The 26,298-nt window shown below is 42.1% G+C and overlaps 1 protein-coding gene across 2 annotated transcripts, besides 1 other annotated feature; it reads right to left on the minus strand.

Annotated features, from left to right (window-relative positions):
* Positions 1-459: 459 nt before the first annotated feature.
* Positions 460-26,160, minus strand: TFB2M (transcription factor B2, mitochondrial). Of its 2 annotated transcripts, NM_022366.3 has the most exons (8): positions 25,725-26,160; positions 24,245-24,333; positions 17,280-17,433; positions 16,472-16,620; positions 11,112-11,201; positions 8,444-8,506; positions 4,420-4,580; positions 460-1,101 (listed from the first exon to the last, which is right to left on the minus strand). In NM_022366.3, the coding sequence occupies exons 1-8, from the start codon at positions 26,035-26,037 to the stop codon at positions 930-932; spliced, it is 1,191 nt and encodes a 396-aa protein (NP_071761.1). In that variant the 5' UTR covers positions 26,038-26,160; the 3' UTR covers positions 460-929. The 2 variants fall into 2 exon arrangements, with proteins under 2 accessions (NP_071761.1, XP_011542550.1); XM_011544248.2 differs by lacking the exons at positions 16,472-16,620; positions 17,280-17,433.
* Positions 25,850-26,129: an enhancer, noted in NCBI's record as "active region_2855". NCBI's record gives its function as "activates an Ori minimal core promoter by ATAC-STARR-seq in GM12878 lymphoblastoid cells {active_cell/tissue: GM12878}" and the evidence as "EXISTENCE:reporter gene assay evidence [ECO:0000049][PMID:35858748]".

Here is a 26,298-nt window from a genome sequence, read left to right on the forward strand (position 1 = left end):
CTCGGCTCACTGCAACCTCTGCCTCCCAGGTCCAAGCGATTCTCCTGCCTCAGCCTCCAGAGTAACTGGGATTACAGGTGCCCACCACCACACCAGGCTAATTTTTGTACTTTTAGTAGAGATGGGGTTTCACCGTGTTGGCCAGGCTGGTCTCGAACTCCTGACTTCGTGATCCGCCCGCCTTGGCCTCCCAAAGTGCTGGGATTACAGGCGTGAGCCGCTGTGCCTGGCCAAGAAAATATTCTTAATTCCATTTAGGTTCACATAAATTCCATTTAGGTTCATATCCAACTTCAGATGAATTTTCTTGATAGAACAAATGTGCAGACTTTTCAGTAATACAGACTGAATTATTCACCAAAACTATATTGACGCTACATGACAGAACTAAAAAGGAGTAAATTAGGGTCAGTTTAATGTTTCATTAGGTATTTAGAGACCAAAAGAAACCACAAAATCTTCTTATTTAAAATATTTTAATTTCTAAAAAGCTTAAATCATATTAAAATTTAAACAATTTCATTGTACAGTACTTGACAATACATTTCAACAAACTGAAAGGCAAACCAGTAAATCAGTTTTGCTTACTTTCTAAGCTTAATAATGTACAGACTCTTGCTCTTCAAGAAGATGCAAAAATCAGCAACAGTACAAGTGAAATATTTAAATAGGAATCTGAAACAAAACGAATTCAATCTGATCAAATCCACAATTAATTGAAGTTTTCATTTTATTCAATTGTGAATAAAATAGCAGACACTGTTTCATCCAATAAGCCAATGATATCAGCTTAGGAGAAATGATCTGCCTGGCTTGTGCAAGACAAGAACAGTTACCTTCTGCTGAAAGGATGTGAGTTTTCAAATTTGGTTTTCATGTCATAGTTTCCAAATAAATGAACCGCTCCACCAAAAACGACAGTCTAGTTGCTACCTATCTTCCAGGGTTTCATCATACAGCCATTTATAAGCACAATCTTTGGAACGCTCTATAGTTTCAAAAAGTGTTTTGAAGTCTTGAGGGTGCATGTTAACTACTTTCTCATCCTCCTGTTTTCCTATTTGCATCAATATATCTCTCGCATCAAGTGGAGTCAATGAACTGCAAAAGAAATACAAAGTAAATGTACTTAATTCTTTCTCATGCATCTATCAGTTCACGGTGACAGAAATGGCTTCTAAGTTGAATTCAAAATGTCTAACTTAGGCATACAGAGTGCTATAATGGACACGGGAGAATCAGCAGGGAAGAGGATGGGAGGAGGGTGAAGGATGGGAGGAGGGTGAAGGATAAAAAGCTACCTACTGGGTACAATGTACACTATTTGGGCATGGGTACACTAAAAGCCCAGACTTCAACAATCCATCCATGAAACCAAAAAAATCACTTGTATTCCTAAGGCTATTGAAATAAGAAGAAAAAAAAAAGCCTAACTTATTATATATAAGCAATCTTATTTAGTTTAAGAGCTTCCAGTAACTTTATGCTTATTTCTAAAGTTTCATAGCTAACCTATAATGAAAATATTAATAGCAGGTTTAGGCTTTCACATACTCTAATCAATTTTTACACCGAATTCTAGTTTAATCACTGCCGTTTGAAAAAATTATTATGCCTACCTCTTTCATCCTTTTCCTTTCTGCAAAAAATATTCTTAACTTCTTTTGGTTCATGTCAAAGTTCAGTAACTATAAACAGCAGAAGTTGCTGTTTGGCAGTTTACAAAGAGGGAATCATTTTTCACATTTTGATGTAACCATCATTGGTAAATACATTATAAAGCCGCAAACTTCCTTATACAGTCATGCATTGCTTAATGATGGAGGTATGTCCTGAGAAATGCACTGTTAGGTGATTTCATTGTTGCTTGAACATCTTACAGAGTACTTAACCCAAACCTATGTGATATAGCCTATTACAGACTTAGGATATATGGCATAGCCTATTGCTCCAAGGATACAAACCTGCACAGCATGTTACTGTACTGAATACTGTAGGCAACTGTAACACAATGGTAAGTAATAGAAAAGATACAGTAAAAGATACAGCATCTTTATAATCTTATGGGACCACTATTGTACATTTGGTCCACTACTGACTGAAACGAGGTATAACGAACACGCCTCATTATGAGGTATTATATATATAAGGTATATTATATAATATATATACAATATATAATCAATGAGGTATATTATATACCATAATATGAGGTACATAACTGTGTATCAGCTTAGCAACAAACCATCAATAAGCCTCCAACAACAACAATTGTAAAAAAATATTTTGGGCTGGGTGCGGTGGCTCCTACCTGTTATCCCAGCACTTTGGGGGGCTAGGTGGGAGGATCATTTGAGCCCAAGAGTTCAAGACTATCCTGAGCAACATAGTGAGACCCCATCTCTACAAAAATCGTAAAAAGTTAGCTGGGCATAGTGGTGGGCATAGTAGTCCCAGCTACTCAGGGAAGAGGCTGAGGCAGGATCACTTGAGCAAGGGGTTTGTGGTTGCAGTGAGCTATGATTGTGCCACTGTACTCCAGACTGGGCAACAGAGTGAGACTCTCTGTCTGTTCAATTCCAATACTTTTTGATATTGAATAGAATCTTGGTAACATGTTTCTAGTCCACTGAGATTACCAGGAGCATTTTTAATATTTTGCACTATGATTTACAACATTTATTCCTTATTTCCCTATTTTCTTGATATTTTCATTCAAAATAGCCACAAGGTGGCAAGATGAAAAATAATAGATTGCCTTTTATTAGTCTATTGCCTTTTACTAGTCTATTACCACTTTTTTTTTTTTTTTTTTTTAGAGATAGAGTCTTGCTCTGTCACCCAGGCTCATCTCAAAGTCTTGTTGGCGCTCTCTGCCTCCCAATTTTTTTTTTTTTTTTTTTTTTAGAGACAAGGTCAGCTTGCTCTGTGTCCCACACTGCAATGCAGTGGTGAGTTTATGGCTCACTACAGCCTCCAATCCCCGGCCTCCTCAAGTGATCCTCCCACCTTGGCCTCACAAAAATGCTCGGATTACAGGCATGAACCACTGCACCCAGGCTATTGCCACTTTTAACATTTATTTTTAGATAAATATTGTCTAGTCAACAGCTCATTCAGAGTTAAATATTAAATGATCAAATTTGTTAAAATAATTATTTTAACATTTTACCCATCCTCTGGCGAGACTTTGAATGACTATGGGCTGCTGATTACAAGGCATAATGCACAACTTACAGGGACGTATGCATCAGCCCTACATACAAATTACATGGATTTATGTACAAATTACACAGATGGCTGGGCGCGGGAGCTCATGCCTGTAACCCCAACACTACTTACAGAGATGTATGCATCATCCCTACATACAAATTACATAGATGGCCAGGCGCAGTGGCTCATGCTGGTAACCTGAGCTGTACTTACAGAAGTGTGGGCATCAGGCCTACACACAAATTACATGGATGGCCAGGCATGGTGGCTCCCGCCTGTAACCCCAGCACTACTTACAGAGGTGTGTGCATCAGCCCTACATACAAATTACATGGATGGCCAGGTGCAGTGGCTCATGCCTGTAACCCCAGCACTTTGGGAGGCCAAGCAAGGTGGATTGCTTGAGGCCAGGAATTTGAGACCAGCCTGGGCAAGGTGGCAAAACCCCATCTCTACAAAAATTGGCATACAATTTATAAACACAAAATATAAATATAAAAATTTTATATTTTTACAAATATAAAAATTAGCCGGGCGTGGTGGTGCATGCTTGTAGTCCCAGCTACTCAGGAGGCTGAGGTGGGAGGATCACTTGAGCCTGGGAGGACAAGGCTGCAGTGAGCTGAGACTGTGCCACTACACTTCAGCCTGGACAACACAGCGAGACCCTGTCTCTAACAACAACAAAAAAATGTTTTTCACTTATATAGACATAAAGCAAGTAGTGTTACTTACAAGCTATTATTTTTACAAAGCTTTGGGTAAAAACAAAATTTGATCCAGAGCAAGGGAACCAGGGTGGTATAATTATCTATCCCTACTCTGGTTAAGGAACAGAACCACTGAAGACAAGCAATGAGAGGTAAGTGTGGGCACGCCTCCAGTAATGCTGATTTCTCTCCACCCCACTAGTGGTAGGCAGCTAGTGCTTCCTGTAAGATAAAGCTAAGCCCATACTCTCAAAAAGATTAAACAATCTGGGCATTTTTTTAAAGAAGGAAAAATAAATGAAACTCAATGAGAGATTATGGGAAAAATATATTTTCCTCAAAATGTACACCAGGGAGAACAAATTATTTTGAAGAAATATGAGGGAAAACATGGTACCTCACTCTGTCAATCAAGATATAAAAATAGATCTCTAGCATGAAAGAATAATTTGTGCATCGTTGCTACTTTATACTTGCTTTTATTCTTTTTACTCACCGTAAGTGGTCTATTACAGTGGCGCTGCGCCTCCCAAAACAGTGCTTTAACAAGTGAAAAAATATATTATAGTTCATAGGTGTTAAGTTCTTGGTAAATAAATTTTGACGAGGAATCATTTGAATAAGATACAGCTTTTGTTGTAATTGGTCTAATAATTCCTGGAGAGAAGAAAAAATGAATTGCATTAGTCACAAAATATTGCCAGAGTAAGACATTGCTCACTTCTTCCTTCAAGCTATCTGCTGAAAGACACAATCACCACAGGCCCTGAGTGTCTTCACATTCTCTTTTTCTTTCTTGGAGATAGAGTCTCACTCTGTCGCCCAGGCTGGAGTACAACGGCGTGATCTCCACTCACTGAAAGCTCCATCTCCCGGGTTCATGCCATTCTCCTGCCTCAGCCTCCCGAGTAGCTGGGACTACAGGCGCCCACCACCACGCCTGGCTAATTTTTTGTATTTTTAGTAGAGATGGGGTTTCACCGTGTTAGCCAGGATGGTCTCGATCTCCTGACCTCGTGATCCGCCCGCCTCGGCCTCCCCAAAGTGCTGGGATTACAGGCGTGAGCCACCGTGCCCGGCCCACATTTTCTTATTGTGTACACCAAGAACACAAAGCCCTAATTGGTCTTTACCAATGAATTGGGCCATTTCTCAGAGTTGTTTGTGATGAGTAACCTTGAGGGAGGAGATAACGTCTCTCTCCAGGACAAAGAGCAGGCCTGTGGCTGGGTGCAGTGGCTCATGCCCATGATCCCAGCACTTTGGGAGGCCAAGGCGTGGATCACTCGAGGTCAGGAGTTCAAGACCAGCCTGGACAACGTGGCAAAACCCCATCTCTATAAAAAATAAATTAGCTGGGTGTGGTGGTGTGTGCCTGTAGTCCCAGCTACTCGGGAGGCTGAGGTGGGAGGATGGCTTGAGCCCAGGAGGTGGAGGCTGAGAGCATGCCACTGCACTCAAGGCTGGTTGACAGAGCCAGGCCTTCTCTTAAAAAAACAAAAGGGCAGGCTTGCTTAATGTTTGCTATGAAGGAGGAGGATTCATTGGGAGGCTGAGGTGGGCAGATCGCTTGAGCCCAGGAGTTCAAGACTAGCCTGGACAACATGGCGAAACCCTGTCTCTACAAACAGTACAAAAATTGGCAGGGTATGGTGGTGCATGCCTGTAGCCCCAGCTACTTAGGAGGCTCAGATGGGAGGATGCTTGAGACTGCTGCGTGGAGTTTGCAGTGAGCCGAGATTACGCCATTGCACTCCAGCCCGGGTGACAGAGCAAGACCCTGATTCGAAAAAAAAAAAAAAAAAAAAAAGACCTAGATTCCCCCAGCTCTGTACTTCTCAGCTGCAAAGCAAGTCCACTAAATGCAAGGCACCCAACTGAGCCACCTCACATCACTCCATGGGAAGAGAGGCACAGAACATCCTCTGTCTGATCCAGGAGTCTTAGGCCAACATCCGAGAAACAGTAACATTTATTAACATGTAAGTAGGGTAAAATCAAATCCCAGACATGAGGCCGGGTTGCTCACACCTACAATCCAACACTTTGGGAGGCCGAGGCAGGAGGATCGCTGGAGCCCAAGAGTTAGCGACCAGCCTGGGCAACACAGGGAGACTCCTTCTTTACAAACAAACAAACTAGCTGGGCGTGGGATGCACATCTGTGGTCCCAGCTATTTGGGAGGTTGAGGTGGGAGGATCACTTGAGTCCCGGGAGTTTGAGGCTGCAGTAAGCCGTGATTATGCCACTGCACTCCAGCCTGGGAGAAGAGTGAGACACTGTCTTTTAAAAAAAGAAAAAAAAATAGGCTGGGCGTGGCGGCTCACGCCTGTAATCCCAGCACTTTGGGAAGCCAAGGTAGGCGGATCACCTGAGGTCAGGAGTTTGAGACCAGCCTGGCCAACGTGGTTGAAACCCCATCTTTACTAAAAATACAAAAATTAGCCCTGCGTGGTGGAGCATGCCTGTAATCCCAGCATTCGGGAGGGTGAGGCAGGAGAAACACTTGAACTCGGGAGGTAGGGGTTGCAATGAGCCAAGATCATGCCATCGCACTCCAGCCTGGGTGACAGAATGAGACTTTGCCTCAAAAAAATAAATAAATAAAAAATAAAAAAAGGAAAAAAAAAAAAACCCAAACATGGCATTAACATATATTGAGTCCTTGCTATATTCAAGATAAAACATCACCATCGGATCCAAAGGACAAAAAAAGTTATTGACTAAAATTTTTAATCGGATATTTAAAAAGTAGGTCTCAAACAAAACTTGGATAGAAATGACAGGCCCTAAAAACCTGTTAAATGTCTCAAACTGCTTCCATAGCAATATGAGCACCTTGATATCAAAGACACATGTGAAATATCTAAAATAAATTCTGTCATAAAATATGACATTTGCTTATTTCATCTTCATCCCTAAAAGTTTATATATGTATATATACACACACACACACACATTTTTTTTTTTTTTTTTTGAGACAAAGTCTCACTCTGTTATCCAGGCTGGAGTGCAATGGCATAGTCTCAGCTCACTGCAAACTCTGCCTCCCAGGTTCAACTGATTCTCCCACCTCAGCCTCCTGAGTAGCTGGGACTACAGGCGCACGCCACCACACCCAGCTAATTCTTGTATTTTTAGCAGAGATGGGGTTTCAGCACGTTGGCCAGGCTGGTCTCAGACTCTTGACCTCGTGATCCACCCACCTCGGCCTCCCAAAGTGCTGGGATTACAGGTGTGAGCCACCACGTCCGGCCAAGTTTATATTTTTAAGTTGGCCAAAAAAACTTAAGCTTTTCAGCTTCTTGCTGAAAAACTGAGAAAGTATATTATATACAGGATTGTTCATTTGTGGAATATTTGGATAAGTCCCCAATAGTATCCAAATGTACTGTATTAGACAAAATGCATTATTCCTATTCTGTTTTTTGGGACTACATAAATATGCTGTATAAATAGTCAAACAGAACTAAAAGCACAATGATGACTGATCACTCTAAAATCACAACATTGAAAGAAAACTGATAATTTTCTTTTTCCTTTAGTGGCAAGTGTGAGAAAAAAACATAAGTAAGCAAACAAACAAGATCTTCAGACTAAGCTGTTATGCTGAGATTAGGCCATTGTTAGCATTTAATTCGTTTTTTTTTTTTTTAAGCCCCAAACCTTAAAGACAGGCATCTAATTCTAAAGTGAAACTTCTGAATTGAGTCAAAAAATTGTTTTGTGAAACTTTAGCTACTTTATTAGAATTTCACAACTAGCCCTGAGATAAACTAAATGGAGGACTATAACATTGTCACTTTGGTTCTTACGTACAAAGATTAAAAAATGAACAAAAATAAAGGCCTAACTCCTGGGTAAAAATCAAGAAGTACCTATCAGTGAATTCAACCATGTAATAAGAGTAGTAATATCACAATTTTTTTTTTTTTTTTTTTGAGACAGAGTCTCGCTCTGTTGTCAGGCTAGAGTGCAGTGGCACGATCTTGGCTCACTGCAACCTCTGTCTGCCAGGTTCAAGTGATTCTTCTGCTTCAGCGTCCTGAATAGCTGGAATTACAGGCATGCGCCACCACACCCAGCTAAGTTTTGTATTTTTAATAGAGGCGGGGTTTCACCATGTTGGCCAGGGTGGTCCCGATCTCTTGACCTTGAATATCACAAATTTCTAATCGATTAATACGTCATAAAATTTTGTTTCTAATTAATCGAATTAGATAAATATTAAAATGATTTTATTTTCCAAATTTGAAATGTACCTTCATTTCAAAAGATATAAGAAGAGAACTCAGATTCTGTTTTTAAGCCTATTACTATGCTAGCATCCATTGTATAACAGCTGATAACTCTTCCAAAATACTTTTGATTCATTAAAAGTAGTAAGATATGTTTAAAGAATGTTTCTAGATATTTTAAAATTAAAAAGTTAAATACAGACTACCAAATAGTCCTAAAAAAATAAAATAAAAAATACGTCACGTAGGGAGAAAAAGGAAAAGGTATTATTTTATTCTTACCCTACGCTTTGGGTTTTCCAGCGGCCCTTTCCGGGTGTATATATCAAATGATGACCAAGGCTCCTGGGGAAGAAAAACAAAGCAAAACAACATCTTTTATTTCTCTTTGGTCAAAGTGCCCCAGTTATTACTTCCTTAAAAAACACCTTGCCTAAATAAGAGAATGGTCAGTCTAATTGGATTTAAAAGAAACATGTTATAGCTAAATAATACACATCTCTCTCCTTAATTTTTTTAAAGAGGAGGAGGATCAAAAGTCTACCCAAATACTAGTACCTCTTTTCCTTATTAAACATGACTTCGCCTGTTATGCAATTACGCAAATAAGTATTTGTTATAATTTTTACCACTCAATATTTCCATATCACAGTCAGAATCAGCAGTTTAAGGGATATTAGATTAATGCTGAGGATTTCTTTTTGCCCTACTTCAGTGGAAAAGCCTACTAATCAAACTATTTGAATATGTTAGAACATATATGGAAATAAACAAATAAAGATACTAGTGTCGACCAGGTGCTGTGGTTCATGCCTATAATCCCAGCACTTTGGGAGGCCAAAGTGGGAGGGTTGCTTGAGCCTGGGAGCTGGAGTTTGCAGTAAGCCACTGTACTCCAGCCTGGGAAACAGAGTGAGACCCTATCCAAAAACAACAATAACAAAAACCTAGTGTCAATTTTAAAATGGATCACTATTTTTCGGTATCTATCTTTTGTAAGAGAATTTTGTGCATAAGGCAATTTTAAGAGATGATCCGGTCAGGCACAGTGGCTCATGCCTGTAATCCCAGCACTTTGGGAGGCTGAGGGAGGAGGACCGCTTGAGCTCAGGGGTTCAAGGCCAGCCTGGGCAACATGGTGAAACCCTGTCTCTTCAACAAATACAAAAATTAGCTGGGTGTGGTGGTGTATGCCTGCAGTCCCAGCTCTTTGGGAGGCTGAGGCGGGAGGATTGCTTAAGCCTGGGAGGCGGAGGTTGCAGTGAGCCGGGATTGTGCTGGTGCACTCCAACCTGGGCTGACAGAGTGAGATCGTGTCTCAAAATAAAAAACCGACCCACCTGAAAAAGTATTCTCTATTAAAAAAACTATACATACCCATAACCATATTAAATTCCAAAATAAGAGTGGGTTAAAATAGATCTGACATAGGCTTAAAAGACTAAACAATATTGAACACAAGGTCTGAAAGGCTACTGTCAAGTAACAATTTATTATTAACTGCAGGGGCAATGAGAGTGGCTAAAACATATAATTGTGGCCAAATTGTGAAATTCCTAGCAGTTCCAGGAATGTCACTTTAAGTGGGGGAAGAAAAGCACCATCAGCCGTGCACAATGAGTACTGCCACTTCCCACACGCCTGGTCGAGCCTCAACAGCTTTCCCCTCATCAAGCACAGTGGAGGAAAACCTGCAAGACACTGGGAATTGACTTCAACAACTTACTCTACAGATGTAGACACACAGTGGAGCAAGTGCTGAGAAACGTTAGGTCCAGAAAGACCTTTCCTTTCTGGAGTTTAGTAAATGGCAAAACCTAACACGGGACCTTTGAAAGCAAATACTAAGGGAACAAGAAGACGAAAACATTCTGCAAGCTAAAGTCCTCAGAGGGCCTCTCTGAAGAAACTAGCTGAAAGCTACCAGGACAGAAGACTTGAGATGAAAGTCAACAGAATGAGACAAGATCAGTGGGTAAGGAAGAATTTTAGAGAAACCAAGAACTATAGTACTGAGAGTACAATATACAGTGCAGGCAGAAAGCAGAATCAGTGATGTGAAGACTAAGTGTGAAGAGATTCTGGGAATGGAGAAAAATGATGAGAGCATGACAGACACGAAAGACAAGGATCAGAGATCCAACCTAAGAACCTCAAATGTTTTTGAGGGGAAAAAAAAAGAATTGGAACAAAAGCTAAAATCAAATGAGATAACATTCCTGAGCTTAAAAAAAAAATACAGCAAGGTGCAGACTGAAGACCTCAGCATATTCTCAGGCGGAAGCAGTGACGAGAACACGTGAAGATCCACATTGTAAATATTTAAAAATTAGAGCCAGGGCCAGGCGCAGTGGCTCACGCCTGTAATCCCAGCACTTTAAGAGGCTGAGGCGGGTAGATCACCTGAGGTCAGGAGCTCAAGGCCAGCCTGGCCAATGTGGTGAAACCTGTCTCTACCGAAAATACAAAAATTAGCAAGGTGTGGCGGTGCACGCCTGTAGTCCCAGCTACTCGGGAGGCCGAGGCAGGGGAATTGCTTGAATACAGGATGTAGAGGTTGCAGTGAGCCGAGATCGAACCACTGCTCCCCAGCCTGGGTGACTTGAGTGAGACTCCATCTCAAAAAATAAAAAAATAAAAAATAGAGCCAGGTGCAGTGGGTCATGCCTGTAATCCCAGTGATCTGGGAGGCTAAGGCAGAAGGATCACTTGAGGCCAGGAGTTCAAGACCAGGCTGGGCAATATTCTTAAACATTTTAAAACTTAGCCAGGCATGGTGGCGCCTGGCTGTAGTCCCAGCTACTCCAGAGGCTAAGGTGAGAGGATCACTTGAGTCCAGTAGTTCAAGGCTGCAGCAAGCTATGATTGTGCCACTGCACTCCAGCCTGGGCAACATAATGAGACCCTGTCGCTAAAGAAAAACGTTTTTAAACAGAAGGATTTTACTCACCATGTGCAGAACCTTAATCTCACAAGCTAATTGCCAGATAACACTTAATACATGATACAAGTCTGGATTTCCGGGATCTGCCATTAGTTTCTAGTAAAAGGAAAATAAAAATTACATGTTATACACATCTATAATCAATTAAAAACAAATGCTGACTCTTAATAGGACTATCTTAATGGCATCTAGACATTTAAGAAAAGAAAACTAGAATTAGATGCAAAAAGCCGGGTGCAGCGGTGCACGCCTGTAGTCCCAGCTACTCGAAAGGCTGAGGCAAGGGGACTGCTTGAGCCCAGGCATTTGGGCGTTCCGTGTGAGATGATCGTGCCTGTGAATAGCCACAGCACTCCGGCAGGGGCAACGGCAGGGCACGCGGGGTCACGCTTGTAATTCCAGCACTTTGGGAGGCCAAGGTGGGAGGATGCTTGAGCCTAGAAGTTCAAGACCAGCCTGGGCAACATAGTGAGACCGCATCTCTTAAAAAACAACAACACACAAGTGTTAAGGCTGACTTGAAAGGACGAGGTTACCTCAACGAATGGGAAGGCACTCCGCAGACAAGAAACCACATGTGAAAAGGTCCACGGCAAAAGAGGCATGGGCCAGTGGAATATAACCCTAGCAGCAGGAATCTAACACAGCACTTCCTATTCTTCTCCTTGTCTTTCCTTTGTTGAATAGCGTATGCACAGCCCCAAGGTCCTGAGGCCCTCGCTGTCTTTCCATGGCTAGCAAATATGTATTTACTAAATGGGTCTGGGGGAGCAAATCATCCCTTCATTTTTTGCCCCACTATCCTAATCCATAGCAATACAAATAAGCATTATAAAAATCTTAATCTTCTTTGAGTCTTAATAGTACTATCTTAATAGCATCTAGAAATTTAAGCAGAGAAAACTAGAATTAGATACAAAAAGCTGGGTGCAGTGGTGTGCACATGTAGTCCCAGCTACTCGAAAGGCTGAGGCAAGGGGACTGCTTGAGTCTAGGAGTTTGGGGGTTCAGTGTGAGATGACCGTGCCTGTGAAAAGCCATAGCACTCCAGCATGGGCAACACAGCAAGACAAACAAGCATTTCCCGTCAAACTGGATTAACAGATCAATAACATGAAACATTCTGGGCAGAAAAGAAAGATGACACTCATAGCGAGATCAAGGTTGTCAGGAAGACCTTCCATTACAGAGAATTGAACTAGAGTCTCAAATCTTAGGCTCGGTGTAATGGCTCACAACTGTAATCCTAGCACTTTGGGAGGCCGAGGCAGGAGAATCACTTGAAGACAGGAGTTCAAGACCACCCTGAACAACACAGCATGACCCTGTCACTACAAAAATAAACTACCTGGGTGTGGTGGTGTGCACAGGTGGTCCCAGCTACAGGGAGGCTGAGGCAGGAGTGTCACTTGAGCCCAGGAGTTTGAGGCTGCAGTGAGCTATGAACATACCACGACATTCAAGCCTGGGCAACAGAGCAAGACCCTGTCTCTAAAAAAATTTCTTTTAATGTTTTAAAGTTAAAAAAAATAATTATAATACCCCTTAAATATTAAAAAAAAATCCTGTTAAAACTAATAAATTCAGCTGAGTATGGTAGCTCACACTTGTAATCCCAGCATTTTGGGAGGCCGAGGGAGGAGGATCACTTAAGCCCAGGTGTTTGAGACCAGCCTGGGCAACAAAGTGAGACACTGTCTCTATTTAAAAACAAAGGGAGGGAAAAAAAACCTGGCTGGGCGCTGTGGCTCATACCTGTAATCCCAGCACTTTGGGAGGCTGAGGCAGGCGGATCATGAGGTCACCAGTTTGAGACTAGCCTGACCAACATGGTGAAACCCCATCTGTACTAAAAATACAAAAAAAGTAGCTGGGCATGGTGGCGCGTGCCTGTAATCCCAGCTATTCAGGAGGCTGAGGCAGGAGAATCACTTAAACTGGGAGGCGGAGGTTGCAGTGAGCCGGGATTGCGCCACTGCACTCCAGCCTGGGCGACAGAGCAAGACTCCGTCTAAAAAAAACAAAACAAAACAAAAAACCTAATAAATTCAGCAAAGCTGCAGGATACAAAAATCAGTTGCATTTTTATGCACTACCAACGGACAATTCGAAAAACAATTCCATTTACAATAGCACCAAAAGTAACTTAAAAGCTAGTAATTAAAAACACAAATAAATGGAGGCCAGGCACAGTGGCTCACACCTGCAATCCCAGCACCTCAGGAGACTGAGGTAGAAGGATCACTTGAACCCAGAAGTTCAAGACCAGCCTGAGCAACGTGGTAAAACCATCTCTACAAAAAAGACAATAATCAGCCAGGCACGGGGGTGCACGCCTGTAGTCCCACCTACTGGGGAGGTTGAGGTGGAAGCATCACCTGAGCCTGGGAGGTCAAGGCTTCAGTGAGCTGTGATCCTGCCACTGCACTCCAGCCTGGGCGACAGTGAGACCCTGTGTCAAACAAAAATGAAAACAACAACAACAACAAAACCCACAAATAAATGGAAAGACATTTCATGTTCGTGGATTGGAAGATTTAATATTGAATACTGTTAAGATGCCACTACCACCCAAAGCAATCTCCAGATTCAACGCAATCCCTAGGAAAATCCTAACGCATTTTGGAGAAACAGAAAAATCCAGCCTAAAATCCATATAGAATCTCGAGGAAACTCAAATAGCCTAAACAATCATTAAAAAGAATAAATTTGGATGAATCAGCCCCTGATTTCAAAACTTACCAAGGTAACAGTAGCAACACAGTGTTGTCTTGGCCTAAGGACAAATATTTAGATCAATAGAATACAATAGAGCCCAGAAATAAACGCGTACACATATGGTCAAATCATTTCTGACACCAACGCCAAAGCCATTTAATGGCAGTAAAGAACAGTCTTTCCACAAACGGTGCTGGGAAAACTAGATCAAAGAATGAAGCTGGACACTGAAACCATAAGCAAAATTTACTGAAAATGGATCAAAGACCTAAACAAGAGCCAAAACTATAAAACTCTTAGAAGAAAACACAAGGAAACCTTCACAACACTGGATTTGGCAATGATCTATTAGCTACGACACAGGTCCCCAATCCCCGGGCCACGAACTGATACCAGTCCGTGTCCTGTTAGAAACTGGGCCACACAGCAGGAAGTGAGCGGCAGGTGAACAGGCGAGGCGTCATCCGTATTTATAGCCGCTCCCCACCGTTCACATCACCGCCTGAGCTCCACCTCCTCTCAGATCAGCAGCCGCCTTAGATTCTCATAGGAACACAATCCCTATTGCGCATGCGAAGGATCTGGGTTTTGCAAGGGCCTTATGAGAATCTAATCCCGATGATCTGTCACTATCTCCTGTCACCCGCAAGTAGGACCATCTAGTTTCAGGAAAACTAGCTCAGTGTTCCCACTGATTCTACATTATGGTGAGTTGTATAATTATTTCATTATATATTACAATGTAATAATAATAGAAATAAAGTGCACAATAAATGTGATGCACTTGAATCATCCTGAAACCATCCCCGCCGCCATCCACGTAAAAACTGTCTTCCACAAAACTGGTCCCTGGTGCCAAAGATGTTGGGGACCGCCCAGCTACGTATGATACCAAAGGCACAGGCAACAAAAGAGAAAAAAAGACAAAGTTGACTTCATCAAAATGAAAAACTTTGGGCATCAAAGGACACAATTAACAGGGTTAAAAGGCAACCCATAGAATGGGAGAAAATATTTGTAAATCATGTATGATAAGAGATTAATATCCAGAATATATAAAGAACTCTTAAAACTCAGCAACAAACAAAATAACCCATTAAAAATGGGCAAATGTCTTGAACAGACATTTCTTAAAAGATATACAGTCAGTACGTACATAAAAATATATTCAACATGACTAATTATTAGGAAAATGCAAATCAAAAGCACAATGAAATACCACTTCATACCATTAGGAGAGGTATTACCAAAAACCCAGAAAACGACTCTCAGTAATGCTGTGGAGAAATCGGAACCCTTGTGCACTGCTGGTAGGAATATCAAATGGTGCATCCACGACGGATAACAAACAGTATGGCAGTTCCTCAAAAAACTAAAAATAGACTGGGTACAGTGGCTCATGCCTGTAGTCCCAACACTTTAGGAGGCTGAGGCAGGAGGACTGCTTGAGTCCCAGAGTTGGAGGCCAGCCTGAGCAACATGGCAAGACCCTATCGCTACAAAAAGCTGGGCCTGGTGGTGTGTGGCTGCAGTCCCAGCTTGGGGGCTGAGGCGGGAAGATCGCTTGAGCCCAGGAGGTCCAGGTTGCAGAGAGCTGTGATCATGTCACTGCACTCCAGCCTGGGCAACAGGGCAAGACCCTGTCTCAAAAAACAAACAAACAATCAAACAAAAAACAAAAAACCCACAAAAAACTAAAAATAGAATTACTATATGATCCTGCAATTCTACTTCTAGCTGTACACTCAAAGGACTTGAAGAGATATTGGTAAACTCATGTTCATTGCAGCATTATTCCCAACAGCCAAAAGGTAAAAGCAACCAAATGTCATTGATACATCAACACACAAACTGTAGTATATATATACAATAGATTTTTTTTTTGAGACAAAGTCTTGCTCTGTTGCCCAGGCTGGAGTGCAGGGGCATGATCTGGGCTTATAGCAACCTCCTCCTCCCAGGTTCAAGTGATTCTCCTGTTTTAGCCTCCCAAGTAGCTGGGATTACAGGCATGCACCACCACGCCTGGCTAATTTTTGTATTTTTAGTAGAGACAGGGTTTTGCCATGTTAGCCAAACTGGTCTCGAACTCCTGACCTCAAGCGATCAGCATGCCTTGGCCTCCCAGAGTGCTGGGATTACAGGAGTGAGCCACCGTGCCCGGCCAGAATGGAATATTATTCAGCCTTAAAGAGGAATGAAATTCTGACACATGCTATAACATTGATGAACCTTGAAAACATTATGCTAAGTGAAATACGCCAGACACAAAGAAATATTGTAGAGTAAACTTACATGAGGTAAAGAGAATAGTCTAATTCATAGAGACAGAAAGTAGAATAATGATTACTAGGGGACGCAGGAAGAGGGAAACGAGAGTTTGTGTTTAATGAGTACAGAGTTTTGGTATGGGATGATGAAAAGTTTTGGAGACAGATGATGGTAATGGCTGTACAATGGGAATGCAGTTAAAACCACTCAACTGTACACTGAAAAAGCAACCTGAGCATAAGACTGCTCTGCAGAATTTAAAAACAATCTTAGACCCTCAAATGTCACGAGCCCTAAATTAAAATCGCACAGATTAAGAGTACTCAGAGAAAAATTACAGACTCAGAACAAAAAATAGGTATTTGTTAATAACATACCTGGAATTCTTTTTCACCAATAAACATATTTACTTCTATTCGTCCAAATTTATATATAGAAGTACAGGAATACAAGTCATATGCGAGTTTCCAAAGTGCCCTTTTCTCACCTCTACTTGGGAACATTCCAACTACTTTTAAAGGGATGTCTGTTAGGAATATAAGCAAAAAGATTTGAATAAAGTTCTTAGCATTTTGTCCTATGTCCATATTTTTTTGAGACAAACTAAGTTAACAAACTATATTAATTTCAAGTTTATTTCAATTAAAACTAAGCCTCAATATCTTTCCTTGGCATGAAACTTGGCTTTTGGGGAAATAAACTGGGTACCTGTGTCCAGGTGAGGTAAATGCCATATTCAGAGTCAGAGCATCTGCTCATAAACTGTATTAATATAATATAAATTATACACAAATTCGGCGGGGTACGGTGGCTCACATCTGTAATCCCAGCACTTTGGGAGGTCGAAGCGGGCAGATCACTTGAGGGCTGGAGTTTGAGACCAGCCTGGCCAACATGGTGAAACCCCGTCTCTACCAAAAATACAAAAAAATAACCAGGTGTGGTGACACACACTTGTAATCCCAGCTACTAGGGAGGCTGAAGCAGGAGAATCACATGAACCTGGAGGCAGAGGGTCAGTGAACCAGGATCGCGCCACTGCACTCCAGCCTGGGTGACAGAGTGAGACTCCATCTCAGAAAACAAACAAATAAATAAAACACAAATTTCATCAACAAATCAGTTATACTGCTAGAGACACCTGGCAAATTCTAGGTATTTGCTTTAGTAAATTCCAAAAATGACCTGCTGTCCAAGGAACTGCTTCTATTCCCAAATTCTTAAAGAGCCCTCGAGAAGACATAGCAGGTGGTTTTATTACTCCACCACTTCTAGGATCTAGTTTAAAGAAGTCACAGTGAATCACTCGTAGTTTTCCATCCAGATTTTTTCCTAAGGACTAAAGAGAGACAAAGATAACACGTTAAAAATTTTCAGCATTAAGTATACTTTGCAGCAATTCAAAAAACTCTACTTCAAAAAACCATAATAAAATGTAAAAATAAAAATAATTCAATTACCTGGGGTTTTTTTGTTTTGTTTTGTTTTGTTTTTGAGAGACAGAGTCTCGCTCTGTTGCCAGGCTGGAGTGCAGTGGCGCCATCTCGGCTCACTGCAACCTCTGCCTCCTGGGTTCAAGTGATCCTGTGCCAGCCTCCCAAGTAGCTGGGACTACAGGTGCGTGCCACCACACCCAGCCAGTTTTTTGTATTTTTAGTAGAGATGGGGTTTCACCATGTTGGCCAGGAGAGCCTCAATCTCTTGACCTCATGATACGTCCACCTTGGCCTCCCAAAGTGCTGGGATTACAGGCGTGAGCCACCACGCCCGGCTGAATTACCTTTTTACAAAAAATATTTCTACCTCCATAACTATGTAAAGAAAATATTACTAACATACCCAAAATTTAACAGAGGAAGTAAAAATCAATTAATACCTGAAAAGTGGCAAAAGTACAATATTACCAAGAAAAAGCCCCCCAAACAGAAATAAACTATCATAAATTTTTCTTTATCTGTTTACTTTTTTTTTTTTTTTGAGACAAGCTGTCAACCAGGCAGGAGTGCAGTGGCGCAATCCCAGCTGACTGCAGCCTTGACCTCCTGGGCTTAAGTGATCCTTCCACCTCAGTCCCACAAGCAGCTAGGACTACAGGTGCATACCATCACGCCCCACCAATTTTTGGATTTTTTGTAGCAACAGGGTTTTGCCATGTTGCCCAGGTTGGTCTCAAACTCCTGAGCTCAAGAGATCTGCCCACCTTGACCTCCCAAAGTGCTGGGATTACAGGTGTGAGCCACTGCACCCGGCCCCACTTACTTTCTTTATCATAATGGCTTCAGCTATTCAAAAGCTTTTCACACCACTCCCTGCCTGCTTAGTAGTGGTTACCTGAAGCACTGGGCAAAGATTCTGACACCATGGTTGGCCTCTTACAGAGAACTGTGAGCCATCTGCTTTGGTCATGGGAAGAAAAAATGAAAGATGTTTCACAGTAAAGAAAAACAATTAAAATATAAAAGTGAAAGGCAGATGGATTCAAGAGAATATCTTTCTTCTAGGGGAATCTAGTCAGCTATCCACCAAATAAATGAACTTAGCTCATCTCCATAATTTTCATTTACTTTTTCTAAAGACAGAAGCAACTATACACCTTGTTTGCTGGAAGAGGTCTAATATATCTCAGTCTTCTCACTGCTCTGATTTGCTCATCTTGCAGTAGTACTAGAGACCTTCATAGTTAGGGCAAGAATCAGTTATAGACTCCATAAACTTAATTCGAAGTTACAAAAAAAAAAATCAGTAAGAAGGCATTATGTTTTTAATGTGTACACTGATGTTTCTGTGCACAGAAAATTCTATTAATATTTATTAAGGTTGGAAATGATGTAACTTAAAGTTATTAATGCAAACACCTATTTTTTCTTAAGCATTTGTATTCAACCTATATTATCCTATTTCTAAATCTAGTAAAATACTTTTTCTTCTTATTTTTTATTGAGATGAGTCTCACTATGTCCCCAGGCTGGTCTCCAACTCCTGGCCTTAAGTGATGCTCCTGTCTCAGCCTCCTAAGTGTCTGGGATTACAGGTGTGTGATACCGTGTCCAGCTCAAAATGTAGTAAATTTTGGCCGGGTGCAGTGGCTCACACGTGTAATACCAGCACTTTGGGAGGCCAAAGAGGGCGGATCACACAAGGTCAGGAGTTTGAGATGAGCACGGCCAACATGGTGAAACCCTGTCTCTACTAAAAATACAAAAGTAAGCCAGGGGTGGTGGCACACCCCTGTAACTCCAGCTATTGGGGAGGTGAAGTGGGAGAAATCGCTTGAACCCAGGAGGCAGGGGTTGCAGAGAGCTGAGATTGCACCACTGCACTCTAGTCAGGGTGACAGAGTGAGACTCCATCTCCAAAGTAAATAAACAAACAAATCTAGTACATTTTAACAATCACTTTCAAGGGGAAGTTTTAAAAAGACTAGAGGAAGGGAAAGACTGGGGGTGGAAATCATACACATTTGGTCACATTAATTTCGAGATGCCTACTATGTGATCTAGGTAGAGGTGCCAGGTAGGAAGTTGCAGACCTGAATAAGGTGCTCAGTGGAGTGGTCCAGTCTGACGATATAAATGTGTGGGAATTTGGCTTGTTGAAGGTAATTTAAGTCAGGGGTCTACACTAGGGAGAAACAGAGGACTAGCCCTGAAGGTAGAGTATGTCCAAAGTCTAATGACAAGAAACTGAGAATACAACTAAGGAGGAAAACCAGAAGAGTGTGGTGTCATGGAAGCTAAAAGAAAGAGTACCTACCTAATGCATACGATTGTCAGTCAACACGCATGGCAAGGCTGTCTAACCTGTGGCCTGAGGGCCGCATACAGCCCAGGACGGCTTTGAATGTGGCCCAACACACATTTGTCATCTTTCTTAAAACATTATGAGATGTATGCATGGACTTTTTTTTTTTTTAAGCTCATCAGCCACTGTTCTTATTACTGTATTTTATGTATGGCCCAGACAGTTGATGTTTCAGGGTGGCCTAGGCAAACCAAAAGATTGGACACCCCTGATATAGCATTAACATAATCTTTCAAGTTATCAAAAAGGCAGTTTAATCTTTGTAATTAAGGAAAGCTAAACAGCACAGGTGTGGTGGCTCATGCTTGTAGTCCCAGGAGTTTGAGACCAGCCTGGACAACATGACAAAACCCTGTCTCTACTAATAATACAAAAAATCAGCCAGGTGTGGGGGCGTGTGCCTGTAATCCCAGTTGCTTGGGAGGCTGAGGTGGGAGAATCACCTGAGCCTGGGAAGTTGAGACTGTAGTGAGCTGTGACTGCAGCACTGCACTCCAGCCTGGGCAATGGGAGTGAGACCCTGTCTCAAAAAAGAAAAAGAAAATGTATAAACAATGAACACTTTATGGCCTCAATACACTTGTATGTTCTGAGAGGGCACCATACATTCTTGCTTTAGCACTTGTCAGTTAACACTCAACAATTCAAACATGATAATAATCAAAGCTTCAGGATAAATAATTCAATTCATACAACAGATCACATTTAAAAATTCAACTGGATTGCATTAGGATTCAAAAACAGAATGGGAAAAAACAGAGAAAAGGCAAGTAACCCTTGAGTTTTTACTAGTCATTAAGTTAGGTACTTAAGTTAGTCATTAAGTTTGTCTCATTTACTGGGTGCAGTGGGTCAAGCCTGTAATCCTAGCACTTTGGAGGCTGAGGCGGGCGGATCACGAGGTCAGGAGTTCCAGACCAGTCTGGCCAACATGGTAAAACCACGTCTCTACTAAAAATACAAAAAATTCGTCGGTCGTGGTGGCGGTCACCTGTAATCCCAGCTCTCACCACTGAAACTCCTTTCAGTTTTCAGGAACAAACTTTAGGTGGCCAGAAGCATTATCCGCTAAGCGCAGCACTTTAAGTCCCTGACTTAGAGCCACAAGAGTTCTGCTTACCTATTGTTACTTCTCTTTTCACTCTGGCAAACAGATTAATTCACACAAAATTTTATTTGAATGGCTTTTCAATTTATCATAACAATGGTTACTAAAAAGTGAGAGAATATGTACTAAGGGTTGAGTACAAGTCAGTGCTAGTAGAAAATAAGAGCCTTAATAGAGAAAAAACTAGTTCTAATCAAAGACTGGATTTAGTCAATGATGTTTATATTTTTAGCTGACATTTATAGCTTCAGAAACATTTTGTTATTGATATTCCTATCATAATTATTGTTTCAAAAATTCTCTAGTCCCTAACCTTCCTTTTTTCATTAAACAATTGTTTTAAAATTAAACTGTTATCTTGAAGGTTTTTTTTTTCTTTTGAGACTGAGTTTTGCTCCTGTAGCCCAGGCTGGAGTGTAATGGCACGATCTCGGCTCACTGCAACCTCCACCTACCGGGTTCAAGTGATTCTCCTGCCTCAGCCTCCCAAGTAACTGGGATTACAGGCATGAACCACCATGCCCAGCTAATTTTTTGTATTTTTAGTAGAGATGGGGTTTCACTATGTTGGCCAGGCTGGTCTTGAACTCCTGACCTCAAGTGACCTGCCCGCCTTGGCCTCCCAAAGTGCTGGGATTACAGGCATGGGCCTCGGTCCTCAGCCTTGAAGATCTTATAGAAAAAAGCAACTACTGTGTTACAGAATAACAAACTTTAAATAGAAACAAAGACATTTTAATACAATCTTAATTACTTTGTGAATATGTAGATTAACCTTTAAATATAGGCTTTTTTTTTTCCTCAAATCAGGATAAAAGTTATCTTCTCATTTTTAATTTCCAAGTTGAAACTACAGATGACTATGTTTACTGAATCACATTTCAGGATCTTAAATCTTCGGACAATTATGTGTTTTTTCTTCACATTTTTGGAACTCCCTCAGATTTAACATCAATTAAATAACCTAGCTAAAACCTTGAACTCTTTTCAAAACAGTAAGTGGTAGAATAACAATAATTTCATACTCATAGTTTTAAAAGAATTAAACAACTGGATTTGACAGACATTTTCACAATTTTTTGTTGTCATGCAATTTTGGATACAGCCATTCTGCATGGTTTCACAAAGTTGGCATAGAGAAATATAAGTTTCCTAAGTTGAAACGGAAGATTATAAAAGAGGGAAGGAGAATGAGAGTAAGAGACTGGTTAAAGACCCAAAGGATTTCCACTTCTTCATTGTTACGTAAATGTGTCTGCTTTTTAAGAAGCACAATCACTGAAAAATCTATTTGGATGATGCCTTCACTCTATGCAACTGTATCTGACTACAGGCTGAGCATCCTTAATCCAAAAATTCTGAAATGCTCCAAAATGTGAAACTTTTTGAGTGTCAACATGAAGCCAAAAGTGGAAAATTTGACACCCGACCTTCTGTGACAGGCTTGCAGTGAAAATGCAGGTATACAACACGAAGATGAGGTCAGTCTATAAAAATCGAAGGGAGTCATCTAAGACAAAAACCACTGTTAATAAGGCAGATGACTCCATAGGGAACTTTTTTTTTTTTTTGAGACAAAGAGTGTAGCTCAGTCGCCCAGGCTGCAGTGCAGTGGTGTGATCTCAGCTCACTGCAATCTCTGAGTCCCGGGTTCAAGCGATTCTCCTGCCTCAGCCTCCCGAGTAGCTGGGACTACAGGCATGCGCCACCACGCCCAGCTAAGTTTTGTATTTTTAGTAGAGACGGGGTTTCACCATGTTGGTCAGGATGGTCTCAATCTCTTAACCTAGTGATCCGCCCGCCTCTGCCTCCCGAAGTGCTGGGATGACAGGTGTGAGCCACCGCGCCCGGCCCACAGGAAACATTTTTAAAAGCCGGCCGGCAGAATGTCTCCTTAGCCTTGACGGACCCGCTTCCTGGTCCCTCAGCTGCTTCTGATGTTTCTTCTTAAGAAAAAATAAAATGTGGTGTACAGTAACCTTTCAATGAAAACACAGCATCCCAGGAGACTGAAAGCCTGCCGCTGTGTGTTTCCACTGTTCAACAGCTGACACAGGGATTCTGATGCTGCTGTGCTGCTTAGTTTCTCTGAACACACTTTTTTTTTTTTTTTTTACTGTACTAATGGTATGTCATTTTTTCTACTGTTAAGCACTCATGTGTGAATAAGTGTAAGAAAATGATGGCTTATCAGAAGCATATAAATTCGGAGTCAGGAGCTAGGCATGGTGGCTCACGCCTGTAATCCCAGCACTTTGGGAGGCCAAGGTGGGTGGATCACCTGAGGTCAGCAGTTCAAGACCAGCCTGGCCAACATGGTGAAACCCCGTCACTACTAAAAATACAAAAGTCAGCTGGGCATAGTGGCGGGCGCCTGTAATCCCAGCTACTTGGGAGGCTGAGGCAGGAGAATCGCTTAAACTTGGGAGGCAGTGGTTACAGTGAGCCGAGATCGCACCATTGCACTCCAGCCTGGGTGACAAGAGAGAAACTCCATCTTAAAAAAAAAAAAAAAGTCAGGGATGATGACGATGTCAAACAAGGAGATTGTTCACATGGGTGGGTGACATAGTGACACCTTTGCTTTCTGATGGTCCAATGTACACAAATTTTGTTTAATGCACAAAATTATTTAAAATATTATACAGAATTGCCTTTAGGCCTTATGAATAAGATGTATATGGAACAAAAAAGGAATTTTTAGACTCGGGTCCCATCCCCAAGATATCTCATTATGTATATGCAAATATTGCAAAATATGAAAAAATTTGAAATCCAAAACAGTTGTGTTCCCAAGCATTTCAGATAAAATACTTAATTTGTATGCCAACCTTTCTTGCCTTTCAAACCCTAAATATAGAGGTTACACAGATCCATTAACCTAATATTAGCACTTATTCCAATTAGATTCCAAGCTCACAGAAGAAAGGAGCACAGCGCAGCTTAGTAGAAATGGGGAAACAAGCCTAGGGATGCCAGTTATACGCTTTGTTCAAAGTCACCCAACTAGGCTGTAGCCGACCTAGAACTAGCAAACAAGTCTTAGAACTCCTCATGTTTCAGCCATTCAACAGCACTGAATATTAACTGTGTTCTAGTCTTTGGGAATAAACAAGATATTTCAGAGATGGCTCCCTAAAAGATATTCTATGTAAAACACTGTGTGCTTAATTCCATTTCCTTAAACCACTCACAGATAGTTGAACAAACAATAACATACGTTGAGAAACTAAAAATATACCTCCAAATGTGGAATAAAAGTTTTGTCACTTTCGAGCGCAACCACTTTGGCACCAGCTTCAAGTAATGCCTGAGTCAGGATTCCAGGACCTGGCACATTAACAGAACGAAAAGTTTATTTGTACAAGAAACATAATCTCTTTCAATACCAAACTTTCATTAGATGTTTCACACGTTATTACCTGGTTTTTAAATCTGACAGCATCCGCAAAGTAGATGTCACTCTCCTTTTTACATATAAGGAAACAGGAGATTATATATACTTATTTGACTCCAGCGTCAAAAGTGATGCAGCTTGGCTTTGAAATCATTGTCAGCGACTGCAAAACCTGCACTCTTTTTTTTTTTTTTTTGAGACGAAGTCTCACTCTGTCACCCAGGCTGGAGTGCAGTGGGGCAATCTCGGCTCACTGCAACCTCTGCCTCTTGGGTTCAAGCGATTCTCCTGCCTCAGCCTCCCGAGTAGCTGGGATTACAGGCGCCCGCCACCACGCCCGGCTAATTTTTGTATTTTAAGCAGAGACGGAGTTTCACCATGTTGGCCAGGCTGGTCTGGAACTCCTGACCTCAAGGGAACCACTCGCCTCGGCCTCTGAAAGTGCTGGATTACAGGCGTGAGCCACCGCACCAGGTCAAAACTTGCACTCTTCATCACCATGATTCACTACCTCTTAGAAGAAAAAAGTCACAGCAAAATAGATTGCCTCTAGCCTATCACTTCCTCACGGACTACACGGATGCTTTAACCATCAAAGAGATTGTCAAGCCTAAACAGAACTGACTCCCTGTGATATGAAATGGTGCTTTAAAAAACTATCATTCAAAAAGCCTATAAATCTTGTGTTCTTAGCATCCTGCTATGGTCTATAGGGAATGCACGGAAGAATAAGATAACATCATTTTTTCAGCTGGCAGAGGCTTGCAACTCTTTTGGGGAGATAAGATCTAAGAGCATGTTTTATCAAAATATTGTGTAAAGTGCAAGCTGCTACAGAAATACTTTGTGGTGTCATTAACGATACAGACTCTACGCTTATGTAGTGGGCAATCTCTCCAACTAAGGAGCTTCAAACAAAGACCCGTATCTGGACGGGCGCAGTGGCTCACGCCTCTAATCCCAGCATTTTGGGAGACCTAGGGGGGAGGATCACGAGGTCAAGAGATCGAGACCATCCTGGCCAACACGGCGAAATCCCGTCTCTAGTAAAAATAAGAAAATTAGCTGGGCGTGGTGGCGCGCGCCTGTAGTTCTTGCTACTCGGGAGGCTGAGGCAGGAGAATCGCCTGAACCCGGTACGCGGAGGTTGCAGGGAGCCGAGATCGCCCCACTGCACTCCAGCCTGGCAACACAGCGAGACTCCGTCTCAAAGCAAAAGAACAACAAAAAAGACCCCCCAGTATCTAAAATAGCACCCCGAGGAGGGTCAATACGTTTGAATAAATGATGAACATCCAAGAAAATGCAATTCAGCTGGACTCACCTGGATTGCACTCCAGCAGTAGGTGTGGAGGTCTACTTGGTTTTCCCAAATAGATTTGCGCCAGGGTCTCAGCCAATCTCCGATCGGTTACGTAACGCTTAAAGTCTAAGCTGGCCTTAGACGCCTTCCTTGGCGGATTCCTGAAATCCGGTTCGGGCCACAGCTGCGGAGAGGAGTCAGAGAGCCCACAGTGGTTCCTCGCCGGCAAATGCTTTCGCGTCGCCGCTTCAGACCCTAAAATGCAAAAGCGACCAGCGCCCGCCAAGGCGGAGAGCCTCAGCCGCCGAGGAAGCCCGACCACTGGGATCCACATGTCCTTGTCTCTCAGGCCCGCTCCAAGAATCACCTAGTGCAGCTACTACAGTGAACCCCACGCAGGGTATCCCACGTGGAACATTTTCTGGCGTCCGGGCCAGGTCAAGCGGAAGTAAACACTAGAGCCTGCGCATGCGAACAGCGGAGCCTTCCTGCTTTTCTCCCTCACTTCCGCTTCCGCCTCGGCTCAGCCGCCCGAGGATTGTGAGTGGACCGTTGAGGAGAGCGACCGACCATCCGGCTGGTGTCCGGACTCGTA

This window comes from Homo sapiens, chromosome 1 (assembly GCF_000001405.40).
Source record: "Homo sapiens chromosome 1, GRCh38.p14 Primary Assembly".
Lineage (NCBI taxonomy): Eukaryota > Metazoa > Chordata > Mammalia > Primates > Hominidae > Homo > Homo sapiens.

Coding starts and splice junctions, on each gene's coding strand:
- TFB2M (NM_022366.3), bottom strand. CDS start 26,037: ATGTGGATCCCAGTGGTCGGGCTTCCTCGGCGGCTGAGGCTCTCCGCC. Junction 11,202..16,471: donor TTGGTGAAAAAGAATTCCAG/GTATGTTATTAA, acceptor TCCTTTTACTAG/AAACTAATGGCAGATCCCGG. Junction 4,581..8,443: donor TGGAAAACCCAAAGCGTAGG/GTAAGAATAAAA, acceptor TCTTCTCTCCAG/GAATTATTAGACCAATTACA.